This window comes from Homo sapiens, chromosome 7 (assembly GCF_000001405.40).
Source record: "Homo sapiens chromosome 7, GRCh38.p14 Primary Assembly".
Lineage (NCBI taxonomy): Eukaryota > Metazoa > Chordata > Mammalia > Primates > Hominidae > Homo > Homo sapiens.
Window position 1 is genome coordinate 90,586,490 of NC_000007.14, and position 19,331 is coordinate 90,605,820.

The following is a 19,331-nucleotide window of genomic DNA, read 5'->3' on the forward strand; positions in this document are numbered from 1 at the left end:
GCTGCTTTTTCCTCTTCCATTACCTGTGTGCTTATGGACTTATGCTTTTAAAAACTTCATTCATCATAGTTTTGGTGAGTTTTCAGAAGGAACAGAAACTACCATGAATGTTGTCTGCCATTTCTAGTAGGAATTAAAGCATATATACCTTTTACTGTATAAGTATTAAAGTGTCTCCCTTTTGGCCCTTGCCAAACTTGCCAACCTCATCTTATGTCTGTTGCATACTCCAACTGCCTTTCAGATTCTCGAACCCGCCATGTTCTGCCTTTGCCATCTGGCCCCCACAAATGCTGATCCCTCTGTAAGAAACTTCTGCTTTCTGCGTGACTACCTCTATGGATCCTTCAGATCTCAGTTTAGGTGTGATTGCTCAGAGAGGATGTGTCTCACCCTCAAATTATGGTGAAATGTCCTTGCTGTGGCATTCAGTCTTTTCTCTATTTTAAAATGGGTCATGTTTTATTGTAAATGGTGGTTTTAACATCATTTTCCCTCACTAGTCTGTAAGCTTCGTGCAGGGAGGGATTATGACCATGCTCCATCTCACCCACTGCAGTATAACCAGATCTTAGCACAGTACCTGGGACATAGTAGGTGCTCAATATGTGTTTGATGAATAAACAAATGAAGACAAGTGAAATTACTTTCTTACAGTAAGGAAATAGAGTACTGAAAATGGAGCCTCCCACCTCTTTCTGGTTAACTACATCAACTGTCCCTCTTTTCTTGGTTTGTAATTAAAAGGTGGATCACACCTGTAATCCCAGCACTTTGGGAGGCTGAGGCAGGCGGATCAGAAGGTCAGGAGATCGAGACCACCCTGGCTAACATGGTGAAACCCTGTCTCTACTAAAAATACAAAAATTAGCTGGGCATGGTGGCTGGTGCCTGTAGTCCCAGCTACTTGGAAGGCTGAGGCAGGAGAATGGCGTGAACCCAGGAGGCTGAGCTTGCAGTGAGCCGAGATTGGGCCACTGCACTCCAGCCTGGGTGTCAGAGCAAGACTCCGTCTCAAAAAAAAAAAAAAAAAAAAAGAAAAGAAATCAAATATACTTGATTAGGTGCCCCAAAATTGGGGAAAGGAGATAATGACCACTTAAATTTGTAGGTGGTGGGGCCAGGATAATTGTCCATCTCTAATTTACAGTCAAGGAAGCAGAGGATTGGTAATACTACACAGATCATGATAGAAGATTCTAGAACTAAGAATTAATATCTTCTGCTTCTAGCCTTGCTTTTTCACTGTTTGAAACACACCTAGGATGTTTATCTCTCCAACTCATCCTTCATCTTTGTAGGTGCCTCCATGTTATCCTCTCTATCTGACTTTCATCAAATAACTACCATCGTGTTGCTATTCCGGGAAGTGAATCATTGGTTCTCACTTGATGGGGGCAGTGCAATAATCATCTTGGAGTCTTTTTCAATCTACACATGGCTCTTCCTCCTCCTGCCCTTCCAGTCCCTACCTAGAATGTCATAGAGCAGTCCTTTAAATGTGCATCCTAATAACTTTGGTGTGACTGTCTTCATAGGTAAGGAATGTTGGTTTAAATATTAATTATGACTAAGCTGTATTTTATTAATCTGCTACTGACATTAGTACTTTTCTTACTTTTCTCAGATGTGGAGGTGGTGGTATAATGTGAGTCAAATACCAGCTTTAGAACTTCTTAAATTTATTTTTTAATTTTCAGTTTTTACTCACACCATGGCTGCTTACTTATAGACAGCTTTAGAACTTGATTGACCTGCTGACTTGCCACTCACCAGCTGGGTTGGTTTGTTCCATTTTACCTTTTCATTTTGAAAATTAAAAAACCTACAGAAAGCTAAAAAGACAATGCAATGGAAACTGTATATTCCTCACCTACGTTCACCAATTTTTATCATTTTTGTCACTACCCTCTCCTGTGTGCGTGTATATATGCATATATACATACGGAGATAGATCAACATGTGTGTGTATGTTGCTATTAAATCATATGAACATAATTTTTGTTGTTGAGCCGTTTAAAAATAATTTGTATATATCATGACATTTTATCCATAAATACTTGTCATACCTAAGAAAATTAACTTGAATCCAACATCTAATACACTGTCAATATTTTAATTTCTAATCTTCTCAAATGTATTTTACAACTGTGTGTTATAAAATACTGTGCGGTTTCATATTATTTTTTAATCCAGGAGTCAGACAAAGTTTGTGCATTACTTGTGGTTGCTATGTCTCTTTAATATAGAACAATACCCTGCCTTGTTTTGCTTTGTTTTTCATGAACAAACATGAATATTGATACCCTTTGAAAAGCCCCAATCAGTAATCTTCTAGAAGGTCCCACATTCTGGGCCTGTGTGACTGCTAAACATCTTTGGCAGAATACAACATAGGTGGTGTGGGTACCTCTTGTTGCCTTACATTAGGAAGCACATGGTATTCAGGATGTCCGCTATTGGTTGAGTCTATGTTTGATCACTTGGGCAAGGGCGTAACAGCCAACCAATCCATTGTGACTGTAATCTGTATAGGGTTACATTGTAGAGGATTGTTACCGCTACGGTTTAGATGTTTGTGTTCCCCCTAAATTCATACCTTGAAATCTAACCTCCATTGTGATAGTATTAAGAGGTGGGGACTTTTGCAGGTGATTAGATCATGAGAGTGGGGCCCTCATGAATGGGATTAGTGCCTTTATGAAAGAGGCCCCAGGAAGCTTGTTTGGCCCCTTCTACTATGTGAGAACAAAGCAAGAAGGCACCATCTATGAGAAATGGGTCCTCACCAGACACTGGATCTGCTTGCACCTGATTTGGACTTCCCAGCCTTCAGAACTGTGAGAAATAAACATTTGTTGTTTATAAACCACAAACTTTATGGTATTTTTGCTAAAGCAGCTCAGATAGACTAAGAAAATTACCATGTGGGTATTCTTTTTTTTTTTTTCTTTTGAGATAGAGTCTTGCTCTGTTGCCCAGGCTAGAGTACAGTGGCACAATCTTGGCTCACTGCAACCTTTGCCTCTGGGGTTCAAGCAATTCTCCTGCCTTAGCCTTCCAAGTAGCTGAGAATACAAGCGTACACCACCACATCCAGCTAATTTTTGTATTTTTAGTAGAGACAGGGTTTCACCACGTTGGCCAGGCTGGTCTCAGACTCCTGACGTCAAGTGATCCCACTCACCTCGGCCTCCCAAAGTGCTGGGATTACAGGCGTGAGCCACTGTGCCTGGCTGATATTCTTTACTCGACAAAAATATATCCAGTGATTTATTTGCCTCAATCAATGATTACATTGGGGTTGCAAAATTGTGACTTTCTAATTCTGCTGTAACTTTTACACTTACTCTGCTGAGTAGTGTTTCTCATTTTTTATTTTTTAGAGAGAGGATCTCACTCTGTTGCCCAGACTGGAGTGCAGTGGTGTGATCACAGCTCACTGTAGCCTCAACCTGCTGGACTAAAGCCATCCTCCCACCTCAGGCTCATGAGTAGCTGGGACTACAGGTGCATGCCACCACACCTGACTAATTTTTAAATTTTTTTGTAAAGATGGGATCTCCCTATGTTGCCCAGGGCTGGTCTCGAATTCCTGGGTTCCAGCAATCCTCCTGCCTAGGCCTCCCAAAGTGCTGGGATTACAGGTGTGAGCCACCGTGCCTGGTCAGCTGTGTAGTTTTAGGAAATTAATTTGATTTCAGGCCAGGCATGGTGGCTCATGCCTGTAATCCCAGCACTTTGGGAGGCTGAAGAGGGTGGACTGCTTGAGGTCAGGAGTTTTAGACCAGCCTGACCAACATGGTGAAATCCGTCTCTACTAAAAAATACAAAAAATCAGCTGGGTGTGGTGGTGGGCACCTGTAATCCCAGCTACTGGGGAGGCTGAGGCAGAGGAATCGCACGAATCCAGGGGTGGAGGTTGCAGTGAGCCGAGATCGCGCCACTGCACTCCGGCCTGGGCGACAAAGTGAGACTCCATCTCAAAAAAAAAAAAAAAAAAAAAAAAAATTGATTTCAATGGACCTTAGTTTTTTCACCTGTAAAATAGGATCATAAAAGACAACTCATAGGGTGATGGTGAAAGTGGAGGTCTTCAATTGCCTAGTATGTAGCAATGATTCCACAAATGATAGTTTAAAAATGTTTATTTCGATCACTTACAAACACCAATTAGAGAGGAATCCTTTTTCCAAAGTCAGTTGTACATCTTTCAATACCACACTTTTAATTTCTTTCCTATAAGGTAGGAAAAAGCAAAATACAGTGTCGTAAGTTAAAAGTTTGGATGCATTTATTAACCTGTCTGAGTATGGCCACTTTCTTGAACTCTCTTTGCTTCAGAAGAGTTCCTTTCTATACAATAAGGACAATCATGATTATACCAAAGTATATCAAAAGAAAAAGAAGTGACTACCATCATGCAATCAAAATGCTTTATAAAAGGAAACATTTTGGTAAACAAGTGTGTGTCAATTTAGAACTGGAACCTGTGTAATGATCTTGGGCACATACTTTTGGCATTTCTAGGCCCATTTTCTTGTGTAACCTAGTGATAATGATAATGCCTCTTGGGGTAGTATGAGTTAAGATAAAATGAGATCATTAATTCATAGCCTATTATAAAACCACAAGTTATAATAGTAACATTGTACAGTTATAAATATTGAGTTATTTTAGCTAGAGAATGTCATATGTGCAATGATACTATCAATATGACTTCTATAGATACTTTTTTTTTTGGCTTGTAAGTGCTTGATTAGAATAGACATGTGAATGCAGATGAACTGTCAAAGGGCCTGGGAGGAAAGACTAGGATGTTTTTGATAGAAAAGGTGCATTTCTGAACTTAATTGTCCTTAACAGGACTTGTCTGGACTGCACAAAAGCCATAAGGTTTTAGTTCACTAAGGTTTTAGTTTCTGTCCACTTTCACATCCATGTCCAGGGTTCAATTACAGGGCTGGTCTCTGAAGTTTAGTTTTGATGAATGCAACATGATACATTGAAATTGATGCCATTCATGACTGAGGACCCACAGTTAATGGCACATCTGTACCACAAATACAAGTAATACCAAAAGCATTATTAAGTGAACTGTATCTTAGAATAGTGTTAGATGTTTTCTCGTATAAATGCCTATAGTACAAGTTATGTAACAATAAAAAACATGAATGATATGCATTATCATATTTAAGCACGGTTTAATGGGAGAGGGGAACTTACCAGTTTTTAATGCATGCTTTGACGCTGGTAGTTTATCTTCTGCAAACTATTCTGAGCTAATTTATGTTTAACATCATTTGGATGTTTTTACAACTTCTTTGTCTTTCTTACAGTCATTGGCAAGTAGATCAATTTACTTAGGTCCCTTGGTCTCTTGAGATGTAGGATGAAAAAATGTACAATTACCTATAAAATAAGCAAATGTAGGTCTCATTTTCGAACAAGACTGGAGGTTTTGTGTCAGCAGACAGTGATTTCTGTAAACGTGAAAAGGCTCTGAATTAGGAAGGAGTAGGCAAAGGATGGGTGGTGGAACAAGGAGGAGAGATGAGGGAAGCCTTCATTGACCTGAGTTGTGAATACACTGGTTTCTGGAACCTTCCATTTTACTCCCCTTTCTGATTTCAATTTGCTCTTTGTCAAAGAAAAAAAAAAAAGAACTCTTTAAGTTTGGATACTGTCCAATAGTTGGAACATAAGGGTTGGTGACAAGAGTTTTAGAGTCAATGTACCAATTTTACTGATGACTCACTGAGAACTTTGTACAAGTCACTTAACCTTGTGTTACTTCAGTTCCTGATGTGTTCAAAAAGGATAAATTTGATCCTAAAACTAGTTAAATAGGTTGACTATTTAGAGCTCTAAGAGGATATTTAATAATGTAAATGTCTACCACTTTAATAATTATACTCTGGCACTATGTCTTAATCTTTAACTATCTATGCTTTGGCTAAATTCTAAAACTTTACATTATAAACATATCTTTTTGAAACTCATTTTCCAGCTCTATTCTTCATGTTCTTGGTATCCTTGTTTCATGGATTTCTTTTCTCTGATAATATTTTAAAAACTGTTTCAGATCAATAAGTCTGCTTTTGCTGGAATTTTGGATTCTAATTAAATCCTTTATATTTTATCTTACTTAAATTAGGATTCTTTCCCTTATAATCTACTACCAGCATACTAGCCTGATATTTTTCTTATGTGGAAAATATCCACATTTTATTTTATAATAAAAGCATAATGTATATGTAATGTGACTAGAAATGATGTATCTTAAATTTCACATAATTTTTGGCAATGAATCCTTGTCTATCTTATTTGTGTATGACTTACTCTTCATTAATATATCTATCTATAGTATATAAGATGGAAGAGGGAAAATTTCATCATTACATTTTATTTATCTATTAGAGATGGGTTCTTGCTGTGTTGCCCAGGCTGGTCTTAAACTCCTGGGCTCAAGAGATCCTCCCACCTAAGCCACCTGAGTAGCTGAGACTGTAGGTATGGGTAATTGCTTCTGGCTCACCATTAACTTTAGAATTAGAATTTTGCAGCTATGAATGGACCTAGAGGTTATCTAGTTCAAGCCCCTCATTTTATAGATAAGAAAATAGGTAAATCACTTACTTGTCTAAGGCTACAATGCACCTAGTGATAGACAGTAGGGACTAGAACTCATGAGTCCTGGGTCCCCAGCCACTTTTGTTACTACTGAACTCCAATACACTTGTATCCTTTAATTGGTGAATTTGGTTAAGGTCAACCCATGTTGGGTTCAGCCTCTAGATAAGCTTATCTCTTTGTACTTGAACACTGCACCTTTAATTCAGGCCATGCAAAACTATAACCTTGTAAACCAGAAGTTGAGATGGAGAACTGGCACAGATCCATTCTCCTACTGAAAAAACATGCTACACAGATGCTGGATAGTCATCTTTGTTTCCAAGGACAACACATCACTTCTCAGAGATAGCAATCCATTCTATATTTATTTGACAAACATTAATTTACATTCTCTATGCAACAGGCACTGTGTGTTTCATATCTTAGGGTCCCTGAACTTACACTGTTTAAGATGAAGGCAAATGTGAAACAAATAATAGTAGAAAGAGTTGAATAAGTATACATATCTTAAAAGCGTCAAGTTAAAAATGTCCTTCTTTGCATTGCAGTTTCTTGCAAAATTTGCTCTTTTAAAATATAACCAGGAAAGGGAGCAAGATGAGCATATAATGGAAAGTTGGTTACTCATAATTGCCAAGCTTTATTTGGCCCAGGCTTAACAGGTGTTTCTCCTGCCAGGTATACTGTTGTAACTAGAGGAAGTTGTTCTGGAGTTGGGAGAGCTGAAGTTTTGAAGTGGGGTAGGGAAAAGGAAAATATTCATTATGTTTATATTAGTATTTTTATTATTATAAAAGTAAAGCATTCTTAGAACATTCAAACTATACTTAAAGGTATAAATTGCAAAGGGAAAAGTTCTCTCTGTTCTGGATATACAATCAACAGTTTTCTGTTCTTTTTTCCAGAAATATTCTATGCATATAGGAACACATAGATGTGTATACATTTTTTCCACAAATGGTTTAAAATATTAAACATGCTTTTCTCCCAAATTAGCCTGTACATATTCACACATCAGTACACACTGATCTCATTTAAGAAAATTGGTGCATACCTTTGTATGCTTTTACCATAATTTAAGAAGAAGCTGACTACTTTTTTTAAGTCAGAAATACTGGGAAGGGGAAGAGCATGGTGGTGGTGCACGCCTGTAATCCCAGAACTTTGGGAGGTCAAGGCGGGCGGATTGCTTGAGCTCAAGAGTAGGAGACCAGCGTCGGTAACATGATGAAACCCCGTTTCTACAAAAATTAGCCAGGCGTGGTGGTGCGCACCCGTAGTCCCAGCTATTTAGGAGGCTGAGGTGGGAGGATGGCTTGAGCCCAGGAGAGAAGGTTGCAGTCAGCCGAGATGGCGCCACTGCACTCCAGCCTGGGCGACAGGCCCTGTCTCGGAAAAAAAAAAAAAAATACTGCGAAGGTAAAATAAACATATATTTAACATATTATATATTTGAAACAGCCATTGTCACAGTGGATAACAGTCACAGGTGTATAATAGTGAAAGTTCGTTAAATTAATATTTCTTCGTGTTTGTTGACTCGTACAACCCATTAGTGTTTTGATTGGTTGCATTTGTCTTTTCATTCATAACTGCTGAAAACTTTCTCCCTAACTAACCTGAGGAAGTGGTAAAAGTCAAACTTTTTTCCGGTATGAGGCCACCCTTGGTGCTGTCTGTAATTATCTAGACATGGCAGCCAGGATCCAACAGCTTTGCGTTTTAACTCATATGGTCTTTCCTGGCGAATTCCTTGCCCCCCTCTGCTCCCCACTTAGCTTGACTTCCTGTCTTTTATCATCCGCAATCTATCAAGATCCTACAATGTGCTCAGTGTAGGGCGGAACAAATCACTGTTTTACCTCACAATTTAAGGAAGGCAGGGGGCTAGTTTTTAAGATAAAAATCTTTTAACAAAACATAAACTCCCCAAAATTTCCTACAAGCCAAACAGCATTGTCACACCCTCACAAGCTCTTATTACTTACACAGCCAAATGACTCAAGATTACTAACGTTTCTATTCATAAGGAGTTTGCTGGCCTCAGATCAACACAATCAAGCCCTCCCCCACCTTCCTTCTCTCTCCCCTGGGAGACTGACGTTTGGAACTCACGCCGCACCAGGTTTTTTCAGAATGAAGACGATGTGTGTTCGCTGCTGGAACTGTTTGTCCTGGGATTTTATAAACACCTCCCCCACTCCTTTTTAAAGTTCTGTTTTTGAGGTGGGGGAAAAGGAGGTCGGAATCTGTTTAGCCTTTAAATCTCCCAATTCAGAAATATATTCTAAGAATTTAATAGAAAAAGACCAAGGGCTGTGTCTGCTATTTACTGCAGAACTGGGTATTCCTATCAGAAATCACCTACATGTGTCACCAAGATCAGAGACAAGGATGAGGGAAACAGCATGATCCCTGCCTTCTGGAGGGTTACAGTTGAAGCTTCCGCTGCTTCTGCACTTGACCTCAAAACAAACAAAAAACCCACCGCAAACAACAACAAAAAAATCCAGGCCCACCTTTCCCCTTGGATCTTTCACTTGACAGCTTTCTCGGCCCAAAATAAGGCACCCTACATCTGAATGCATCCCTAAGGCCTTACCGCACCCAGTCCAGGAGGCAGTCCTGGCAGCTGCCCTCCACCGAACTCCGCGCTTTTTCACACACGCTCGTGGAAGGAGAAAACCGCTCAAACAACTGGACTCGGCCCGTTTCCTTTCGGTAACCTCCCCACAGCCCAACACGCTGTCCCCAGACGCTGCCCGCTCCCACCCCGGTCCCTTCGTGATCCTCCCGCGCGCGGGCGGGGCGGGGGAGGAGCGCGGGGGCGGCCGGGAGGGGCGCGGCCGGGAGGGGGCGCCGCCGGGGCGCGAGCCAGACACAGAGGGCCGCGGAGGACGCGGGAGGCGAGCGGGGAGCCGAGGTCGTGCTAGGATCCCGCGCCCAGGGGCCTTCGTCGAGGGAGGGGCGTGGCGGCGGCAGCAGGAGGGCAGCAGGAGCTGTCAGGCTGGCGGTTCCGCGCCGCGGCTCCTTCTGCGCTGCGCCCGCAACTCTGGGCTGAGAACTTCTCCCGCCGGCCCACTCGCCCTCGCCCCGCGCACTCGGCGCCAGGCGACTCCCGCACCTTGTACCCGGCCCGCCCCGCCTCCTCCTTCGGCCGCACCACTCCCCCTGCCGGCCGCGCTTCTCTCCGTTACAAAGGAGGGAAAATGAGCCGGGCGGCGGCGGCGCGGCGCGGGGCCACCACGGCGGCGGCGAGCGCGGCCGCCCCCGGCACCACGTAAACCGCCCCCGCCCGCCCAGCTGCGGCCCAGGCCGGAGCGGAGCCTGCCGTCCTCCGCCTGCCTGCTGCTCGCCTCCCTAGACCTGCGCGTCGCTTCCCGGCCCGCCGAGGAGGTGGTGGAGGAGGAGGCGCCGCTTTCCCCGCGGCGCGCGCCCTCGCCGTTGTCTGAGCTGTGCCTGGACCAGTTTGGGGAAGTTGTCGGGGCTCCGCGTCGCCCAGATGTGTGACCTCATTGAGCCGCAGCCGGCCGAGAAGATCGGCAAGATGAAGAAGTTGCGGAGAACTTTGTCGGAGAGTTTCAGTCGCATTGGTGAGTAGCGCGCTGCCCCCGGCCCCCCCAGCGCCCGCTCCCCTCGGCCTGCGCCCCCGCCGCGTTCCTGGCACCAGCCATGCAGCTGCCAGCGGGGCTGGCGTGGGGTGCGTTGTAGGCGGGGATCGAGGGCACAGTGCTAGGGACCCGGGGGAGGGCAAGGACGTAAAGGAAAGAGACCCCTCTTCCTCAGGATCTGGGGGTTCATTTGTAGATTCTCTCAAGCCTACAATATGGGTTCTCCCCTCCTCCGCCACTAGTGCTCGCCCTTTCGCGCGCGTGGGGGACGGGCGAGGGGACCCCTCGGCCCCCACCGCGCAAGGGGCTGCGCGGCTGCTTGGGCCACTTGTTATTTTTTGCGCACAGGCTTGGATATTGGGCGTTTAGTCAGTAATTTAGCTTTGGAAATTGGTGAAACGTTAGACTGTGCCCTGGTATTGTTTAACGTATCCAACCTAAAGGGAAGTGGGACAGTTACCTTGGGACCTATTGTTCGGTACTTCGGGTCCTGGAAAGCGAGATTTGGGTGTTCAGTCTCGAGGTCTCTGAATCTTCCCGCTGCTGGAGAGAAATGCGCGCTGTGGAGTTGTCTGGACATTTAGGAATGTCTCTCGAACTTGTTCCATTTAATAGAGCTCAGGGGCTGTTGTCTTTAAACCAAACAACAAACCAACTGACCAACAGTGTTTAGGACAGTGACGAATAAATGCATGTCACAGGTTGTAATAGGGTGACAGCAGTATCACGTGGAATGGGTTTGTTAGATTTTGAGTACTGGGCATAGAAAACCCCTTTTAACCTGAAGAGTTAGCTGCCTCCCCTACTGTCACAACTTTCACTAATAACATGTAACTGCCCTGAGCAAGAGAATGCTATAGACACAAAAGATAACCCCTGCGAGTCCCTAGGAAGCTGCCTAGTCTTTGTTTCACTTGTTTTAAATGTCATCCATGTTAACGAAAGTGTTAATGGAAATTAAACATAAAGGTACTTAATTCCTTAAAATAAAACCCTGGGATGCACATGAGTGTTACAGATATCCTTCCACCCATTCATTGTAAGATATGCAAACTTTCTTCAAGTGAGAGAGTACAATGGATCGAAATTTAGCCAAGTTTTTTTTTTTTTTTTTGTCTTTCGACTTAAAATTTTGTGTTGGTATGCAAAATCTTTCCCCAGATGACTGTAAAGTTATGGTATGAAACCAATCTTTAGTTTTATTTATTGCATGTATTGGATATTAATTTCACTCTTCAGAATTAGGGATACATGTGGAGAGTCCCTGCATTAAGATGAAGTTTGAAGCCAAGAAGAGTGTGAGAGAGGGAAATGTTGAGTCGTGTGCATTATTAACGAGGATGTTTCAACCCTGACCCAAACCGTCGCAGAGGCGGGTTCTGGAGTCCATTAAGCCGTGTTCTAAAACACATTAACTATATATTTACTAATGCTAATGATTCTGCTGGAGCCCCTCCAGTTTTGTGTTAAATAATTCATTGCAATTGAGTCTCAGTAAGAAACCAAGGACATTAATCTAAAAGTTCCTTATATTTAAATAATTTCAAGGTTTTGATCGACAATCAGTAAAATTTGGATTAAGTACAGTGCTGGCAAATGGGGGTATTATAGTTAATTGGATTTTCTAGCTTACTGAGATTTAGTGATGTGAAACTCCTTTTGAATCCAACTCTTGTTAAAATGTCTTCTAAGAGCTGGTGGATTTTATATCCTCCCTTTAGGACACAGAATGCAGTGCAGTGAGCACAGCTGATTATTTCTTGTATTGATGGAAAATATGATTCTGAATCGTAGATCTCATTATGGAGTATTGTAATAGGAGATATTGAAGTGATTATAGTTGTATACCAAGCCAACGACATTCAAAGTAGCATTACAGAAACAAAATCTGTATCTTCTTATTTTCTTGATGTTTTATATTGTATTTGCAAAATTAAAACCAGTGAACTCATTCTGATTATCTAAGGATTTTTTTTTTTTTTTTTTGAGACGGAGTCTCGCTCTGTCGCCCAGGCTGGAGTGCAGTGGCGGGATCTCGGCTCACTGCAAGCTCCGCCTCCCGGGTTCACGCCATTCTCCTGCCTCAGCCTCCCAAGTAGCTGGGACTACAGGCGCCCGCCACTACGCCTGGCTAATTTTTTGTATTTTTAGTAGAGACGGGGTTTCACCGTTTTAGCCGGGATGGTCTCGATCTCCTGACCTCGTGATCCGCCCGCCTCGGCCTCCCAAAGTGCTGGGATTACAGGCGAGAGCCACCGCGCCCGGCCTATCTAAGGATTTTTAAGGCGCTAGAGGTTGTTGAGTTGAGGGCTTACTGTGGGATTATATAGTGCATGAGTTAAGAATGTGGGCTGTGTGTCACACAGACTGTTTCCCATGTTGCCATGCCCAGCCAAGGTCTCTCAACTTCTCTGAGCTTCAGTTTTTCATGTACAACTCAGTTTCGTTGTTGGCTTTTAGTGAAATAATGCATACCATGTCTTGTGTGGCACATTAAATAAAGACTCAGTAAACGTTCAAGATATGTTATCATTGTTTTTGTTATTATTAGGAATTCCATCATACTGACATAACTGATCTTATAGATAGAAAGCAAGAGAAGAGGGAAGTGGCCATTGACTTTGTAGTGTAGCCAGCCTTAAAACGGAGTTAGGCAGGCCTGGATTTGAACTGGGTTTTCGCTGCTTGCTCTGTGCCAGTGGAATTTTGCAGCCGGTGGAATTACCCTAAAGCCCAGAGTCCTCATCTGTAAATATTCATATACGGTGAATATATGTGAAGACTAAATCGGATAAAACACCTGAAAAATCTAGTGCAGTATCTATCACAAGGTGAAGGTCAATACCATAGGCTGTCATTGTTCCTTGCAATTTCTGTTTATACCCCATCATCCTCCTTTCTTCATTGGTACTTCATGAGGAGATCGAAGAGTGAATGGTTTATTCTTGTTGAATAATCCACACTGCAACATATTCATTCTCTTTAACCAATCTAAGCTTTTGAAATAGACATGCTGACTTTATTTTGCTGCTTTAGTATTATCCAAAAGTGTAGCTTGTTGTATGGTGAAATGTACAATACTATTATTTAGCTGTAAGAAATTATTAATCATTCATCTATTGAAAATGAGGAAATATTTGAAAGTATCTGATGTCTGGTCAGTGTTTATCATTAATAATAATAATTCTAAATACATAAAGCAGTGCTAATGTTTAATTTGTTTACACATTAGAGATCATGCTGACTTTGTCACTGCCCACCCCAAATACAGCTGAGCTGAGATTACTATATTATAAAACACATGGCTTTCAAGCCATAGTGCTCTAATTTATGACATCTGCCAGGGAATGACTATGATATAGTTATGGTTCTTTTATAAGATGAGTGTAATTGAATTTTAAAGTCACCCATCAATTTCGGTAGTATTTATGGTTTTCTACTAAATAGTGTCAGCGTGGTTCCTTATTTAGGAATTACTACAGTTGTCTCACACTTTTTTTTAAAATTTAGGCTAACAAAGACAAATGGGAATTTAATTATTGAGTAGTTTAAGTATTTTAAAGTTCATTTCCTCTTTTCTTTCTTGTTTCTTTTTTATTTTTGAATGTTAGCCTAGAAGGAGAAAGGCTTTATGTAATATCCGGTGTATGATTAAGGTCAAACTGACATTTTTTCATATTCATTTGAATGCATTGCTTCATACTTATTTGGACTGTCTCCTAGAGAAAGGAAGTTTATACTCTGCGATATTTGAGATGAACACCATGTATACCATTTCTTTAAAGGACATGGTTTGTGAGGGAACTAAATAAAAAGAAGAGGCTGTGATTACACTGAACTTTGGGGTTTGTTACCTTGTGCTGTAACTGTGTAATTCTAGAGTCCAGTTGTCATGTGACGAATTCATTATGTCAGAAAAGAGAAATATAAGGTTAAATGTTCAGACACAAAATTTAACTGTTGTACCACATTTTCCCCAATGCAACTTCAAAATATTTTAATTTGAAAACTACAAAATGGAATTTATATCCATGATCTTTTAAGAGAGAACCAGTGTAGCATTTTCATACACCAAAACTTAAGTGTGTCTCAAAAGATACTCTCCTTTTGCCATTGAGGTAGGACTCATTAATTCAACAAATAATTATTTAGTACCTCTTCCCCACTGTAGATATTGTTCTGACAGTCAGATCGACTGACTAATGTGGGTGGTCCCTGTCCTCAAGGATTTTAAGGGAAAACAGGCCAATTAACAGGCATTTACAATATAAAGTGACAGATTCTACCATGAAGATTAGCGAAATTTGCTGTTGGAGAACACAGGAGGAGCATCACTTTCATCTAGGTGAAATCATGAGAAGCTTTCTAGAGGAAGGACTGTCTGAGCAGAGGACTGAATAGAATATCTGCTGATCTTAAATATTTTGATATATGCCCCTTGGCTATTCCAGAATAATGTAATATGCTTGTTACTCCATGAAATCCTTAAAGATAATTGTGGATTTACATTTACATGAATGATTAATGGCAATCAGGGAATGTAATCAATAATGAGATCTTGTGTTCTTGTTTGGGTCAGAATTTACTCATCAGTGACCTGATGAACATCTGGCAAAGACATCTTAAGTTGGTCTTTGTTGTCACTGTTAACTGCTGTTCAGGACAAGGACTCAATATTTAGAAGAAACCGTGTAAGGTGTCAGTCTAGCAGTGAATGACTTCAGTGAAGTAATGGTGTTCTGTGGTACCTTGAGCTTGAGAGTATTGTGCAGATGAGATAATCTGGCTTCCTGTTCATTATGTCATAGCAAATACACTTGCAGTTTCTTCTATTTTCTCCTCTTGATACCTCCAGACCCCACCTCTTTGTCCAGAATGTTGGAGAATTGTCAGGACTTAGGAGATAAGAAGGAAATAGTCCAGTTTGGTTGTTCAAGGAATTCCAGTTTTCTGCTGTCTTCATTTCTCAACTTGAGGGTCTTCATTCCATATTTGCAGTTCCCTAAGGGATAGTATCTTTTTTTTTGGCGGCAGAGGAACAGGGTCTCACTCTGTCGCCCAGGCTGGAGTGCAGTGGCGCAATCTTGCTCACTGCAACCTCTGCCTCCCAGGCTCAAGTGATCCTCCCACCTCAGCCTCCCGAATAGCTGGAACCACAGGGCACCACCACCACGCTTGGCTAATTTTATGTATGTATGTATGTATGTATGTATGTATGTATGTATGTATGTATGTATGTGGTATTGTTTTTGTAGAGACAGGGATTCCCCCTGTTGCCCAGGCTGGTCTCAAACTCCTGAGCTCTGGCGACCCATCCGCCTCAGCCTTCCAAAGTGCTGGGATTACAGGTGTGAGCCACTGCACCTGGTGGGGTAGTGTCAACTGTAGTTCTTATTGGATGCTTTGCTTAAGAAAACACATGGCTAAATTTCCAGAACTTTTATAATGTCCAAAATAAAGACAGTATATTTAAAAGTTTGTGCCGTGAATTGTAAGTTTGCTGCTGTAGCTTTGCATCTTGCATGGCAGCCACATAGTGCGCGTGTTCCATTAATCTTTGTTAAATGAGCTAGGTATGAGGCTGTATGGCAATTTGCTTATGTTAGACTTTGTATTTGAAATCAATGGGCTATTAATTTCTTATTCCTAAAAGTTTAGTTTTTCAGATGAAGCAACTTGTCTCTATTTAGAATTACATTACTAATGTTTTGTAAAGGACTCATTAGTCAAAGTATGTTAATTAAAGGACACGCCTTGGGTTGAGGGAGTAGACAGTATGGTAATATTGTTGACTGGTATTTATACAGAGCCTTGTAGCCTAGAAGTTAAATTCTAGTGAAAATGCAGTCATTAGGAATTAGCTAGGATCTTAATATGGTTCTATCAAAACAGATTATTTTAGATTTAATGTAGGTTATTTTAGTTTTAATGTAGGTTAAGTTAAATACATAATTAAAACATGTGCAAGTAATTGAATGCAAGATAAGCCATTCACAACAAAGGACTATCTTTTTATTTTCCATTCACTTTCAGAAGAAATGGTTATCCAATAAAGAAAGATTAGTTTATTAGGCAAAAGGGAAAAATAAGAAACTTTTAGAAACGTTTTATTTCCCTCAGCCTACCTGCATCCCCCTTAACTCACCGCAATCACATTCTTCTTGAAAACACAAATATATGAAACAGAGAAAATAACCTTTTCACGATTGTTAGAGTATGTATCCTAAGCTTTTCTATGATAGCTTCAGTTTAGGCACATTACTTTTCTCAGAGCTTAATTGCCAGAATAATTTGCTTTTCATTGCTTTTGTCAGAACAAAGCTTTCCAATAGCTACCCAAGTGCTTCTATCCAGACTAAATCATGTATAAAGCAGCAAACACCTATGCATTGTTCCGTAAATTTGAAACATTTCTCCAGCTAGTAGTTTCAGATAAATTAGCTATTTAATGCATTCTTCTTAATATGAAACATTCTAAGTAATTGTAAAATGTAAGGAACTAGATGTTTGCCAACTGTAGGTGAAATTCTTCTTCTATGTTGGGTGAAAAAATTCCAGTTCTAAAGCTATGAACAGTCACGCATACTTGATGGTGGTCCCGCAAGTTTACAATACTGTATTTTTACTGTACATTTTTCTATGTTTAGATACACAAATACTTGCCATTGTGTTACAGTTGCCTATAGTATTTGGTACAGTAACATGCTGTATAGGTTTGTAGCCCAGGAGTAATAGGCTATACCATATAGCCTAGGTGTGTAGTAGGTGATACCATCTAGGTTTGTATAAGTACACTCTGTGACATTTGCACAATGAAATTGCCTAAGGGTGCATTTCTGAGAATGTATCCCAGTTGTTAAGTGACACATGTCTGGATTTAAAGTAAATTTGAAGTATTTTCTGGTTCCTATAAAATATTCTGAATGTATTGTTTTCTTTTGAAATACTTTGTTATAAAATTTATCATGTCGAAATGTTTAAATTATGTCTCTTACTCTGCAATGCTTGTTTTAGCAGGCTTAGTCTTTCATCAACACACTTACACTTCACTTAGTATGAAAATGTCATTCAGGGCTCTGTGCAAAGAAGGTGTCATCCTAACAATTGGTGATATCTTCTCAAAACCCAGGAGTTTAAGGGGAAATTTCTTTAAGATTACTTCGTGATTCTTTTATACTTTCATTGAAACATGTTCCAACTAAAGAAGAGATAGGGAACAGTTATGTGTGCTTCTTTCTAATATCTGGGAGGATAGTTCTATTTGCATATTTATAAAAAATATTTCAAAAGATGCATGCTGTGCAATTCTCTTTCATTTGCAGTTTTCATATTTGTATCATAACATTGTTATTCAGGTTGGGGTACAATTTACTTTCTGAAATGAAAACACCATACTGCCTTGTTTTTTTTTCTGTTTTCTATAACTTAGTCTCTTTGGAATTTTTCACAATAACTGTTTCCTTTTCCTTCTTATTTTATAGCTTTGAAGAAAGATGACACCACCTTTGATGAGGTAGGTTAAATTTCTTTATCTAATGTTAGATGTATTTAATGACTACCAGGTAAAGTCAGTAGCTGCCAACTTTGTACCTGGAAACAAAAAAAATGCCTTTAAAACGCGAGATAACATCTGTTTATTTCATTGCATTATTATATTTTCAAATTTTAAATAATCGTTCAAATGAGTTTTGGTAGCAAGTAACAGAAATATGTCTTTTTCAATTAATAAATGAGCTAATTAGAAGACACATGCAGGCCTTTGTGTTGTTGCCTTCTTGCTAGTGGTAGTGCTTGAGACACGCAGAGTGATGTACGTGCTTAAGGCAAGTCTGGAGCTGTTGGTAAGTTGGGCACCATGGCTCACCATGGCTCCTTGCAGACCTCAGCTGAATCAGGGTGTGATGTGTTGTCGATGCCACATATTGTCTGTCAGTCTCCCAAGGGAGGAGCTGACTTTTCCTGTTCTAGTTTTCCTATTCTTTGTATATCAGATCCGTCTTGATCTACTTGCCACAAAGTAGTGTAAAATACTGTTCAAGTAAGGCAGAGAGTTCATATGTAATTAAATAGCATCCTGAATGTGATTTTAAAATTGCAGTCATTCCTGAATTTTTGTAGTATAAGTAGGAATCACCAGAGAAATAGTGAATGTTTACAAAATATTTTCACAGTGCCAAAGAGTGAAATGTTTCATTGTAACCATCCTGAGCCACACTCATTGATCTGTGTTGTAAACTGGGCCACATGTGTATATAGATTGTGTTTTTATATAGGAACATGGGTGTTATCTATACAGTGTGCTTACCCTAAAGCCTGATGAAAGCATAAATCAGTTTGGTTTGGTGGTTTGGTTTGTTTTAATAGTTACATATTCCATGAAATATGCTACCTGTCTTCCCTCTGCTGCAGTGCTTCAGTGAGGAAAGGGCATTTGTGCTCATGGAAAGTCCCCTTGGCCATGTGGCTGGCTGTGGTGCATGGCAGGTCTGCTCAGAGAGAACCTGCTCCAGGCTGGGATTTCTGGATGGGGCCACCGTCATTTGGCTGTCACGGTCTGCTGCTTCATCTGCTGCACCTGTTCTCTTTTTCCTGGGCTGAGCTTTACAAAGCTGTGTGTCCCTGGACTCCAAAGCAACTTTCCCTGCCAGCATTCCTGTGACATCCTCTAAAAAACTTAATTCTTCTAGGCTTGAAGCAATAGAGGAGTCTTTTCTTCTTCCTTCATAGTGGGCAATAATGGAGTTTTCCTCTAAACATGTATTTCTGGAATTTCGGTAGTGTTGTTATTGAGATATTTTTCAGGAGAGTGTTTTCTTTCTTTTCAGGAGCAATCAATATGAGAATATTTGGTACCATTTTTCTCTTTGTAAAGAAAGTTTCCCCTCTAATTATGTAGATAATTTAAGCTTACATAAAAAGAGAGAAATAAGGAAAAGGAGAAAGAAAAAATCTCATAAATCCTGTTACCCCGATACAACAACTGTTGAATGTTCTTGCTTCTTTCTCCGTGTTTTAAAAAAAGCAGCCCATTATTATATCCCGCTTTTTTCTTTGATATGATAACATTATATTTTCCCATGTTTT

At 40.6% G+C, this 19,331-nt stretch overlaps 1 protein-coding gene across 1 annotated transcript in view, besides 5 other annotated features; it reads left to right on the top strand.

Annotated features, from left to right (window-relative positions):
* Positions 9,440-9,639: a silencer, noted in NCBI's record as "silent region_18358". NCBI's record gives its function as "represses an Ori minimal core promoter by ATAC-STARR-seq in GM12878 lymphoblastoid cells {active_cell/tissue: GM12878}" and the evidence as "EXISTENCE:reporter gene assay evidence [ECO:0000049][PMID:35858748]".
* Positions 9,660-9,969: a silencer, noted in NCBI's record as "silent region_18359". NCBI's record gives its function as "represses an Ori minimal core promoter by ATAC-STARR-seq in GM12878 lymphoblastoid cells {active_cell/tissue: GM12878}" and the evidence as "EXISTENCE:reporter gene assay evidence [ECO:0000049][PMID:35858748]".
* Positions 9,832-19,331, top strand: part of CDK14 (cyclin dependent kinase 14) — a 614,270-nt gene continuing 604,770 nt past the window's right edge. The window contains exons 1-2 of the mRNA NM_001287135.2: positions 9,832-10,229; positions 17,729-17,760. Of these exons, the coding sequence (NP_001274064.1) occupies positions 10,139-10,229; positions 17,729-17,760 (123 nt within the window). The 5' untranslated portion in view covers positions 9,832-10,138. The remainder of the gene's footprint in view (positions 10,230-17,728; positions 17,761-19,331) is intronic.
* Positions 10,160-10,359: a silencer, noted in NCBI's record as "silent region_18360". NCBI's record gives its function as "represses an Ori minimal core promoter by ATAC-STARR-seq in GM12878 lymphoblastoid cells {active_cell/tissue: GM12878}" and the evidence as "EXISTENCE:reporter gene assay evidence [ECO:0000049][PMID:35858748]".
* Positions 10,420-10,469: a silencer, noted in NCBI's record as "silent region_18361". NCBI's record gives its function as "represses an Ori minimal core promoter by ATAC-STARR-seq in GM12878 lymphoblastoid cells {active_cell/tissue: GM12878}" and the evidence as "EXISTENCE:reporter gene assay evidence [ECO:0000049][PMID:35858748]".
* Positions 18,526-18,575: an enhancer, noted in NCBI's record as "active region_26246". NCBI's record gives its function as "activates an Ori minimal core promoter by ATAC-STARR-seq in GM12878 lymphoblastoid cells {active_cell/tissue: GM12878}" and the evidence as "EXISTENCE:reporter gene assay evidence [ECO:0000049][PMID:35858748]".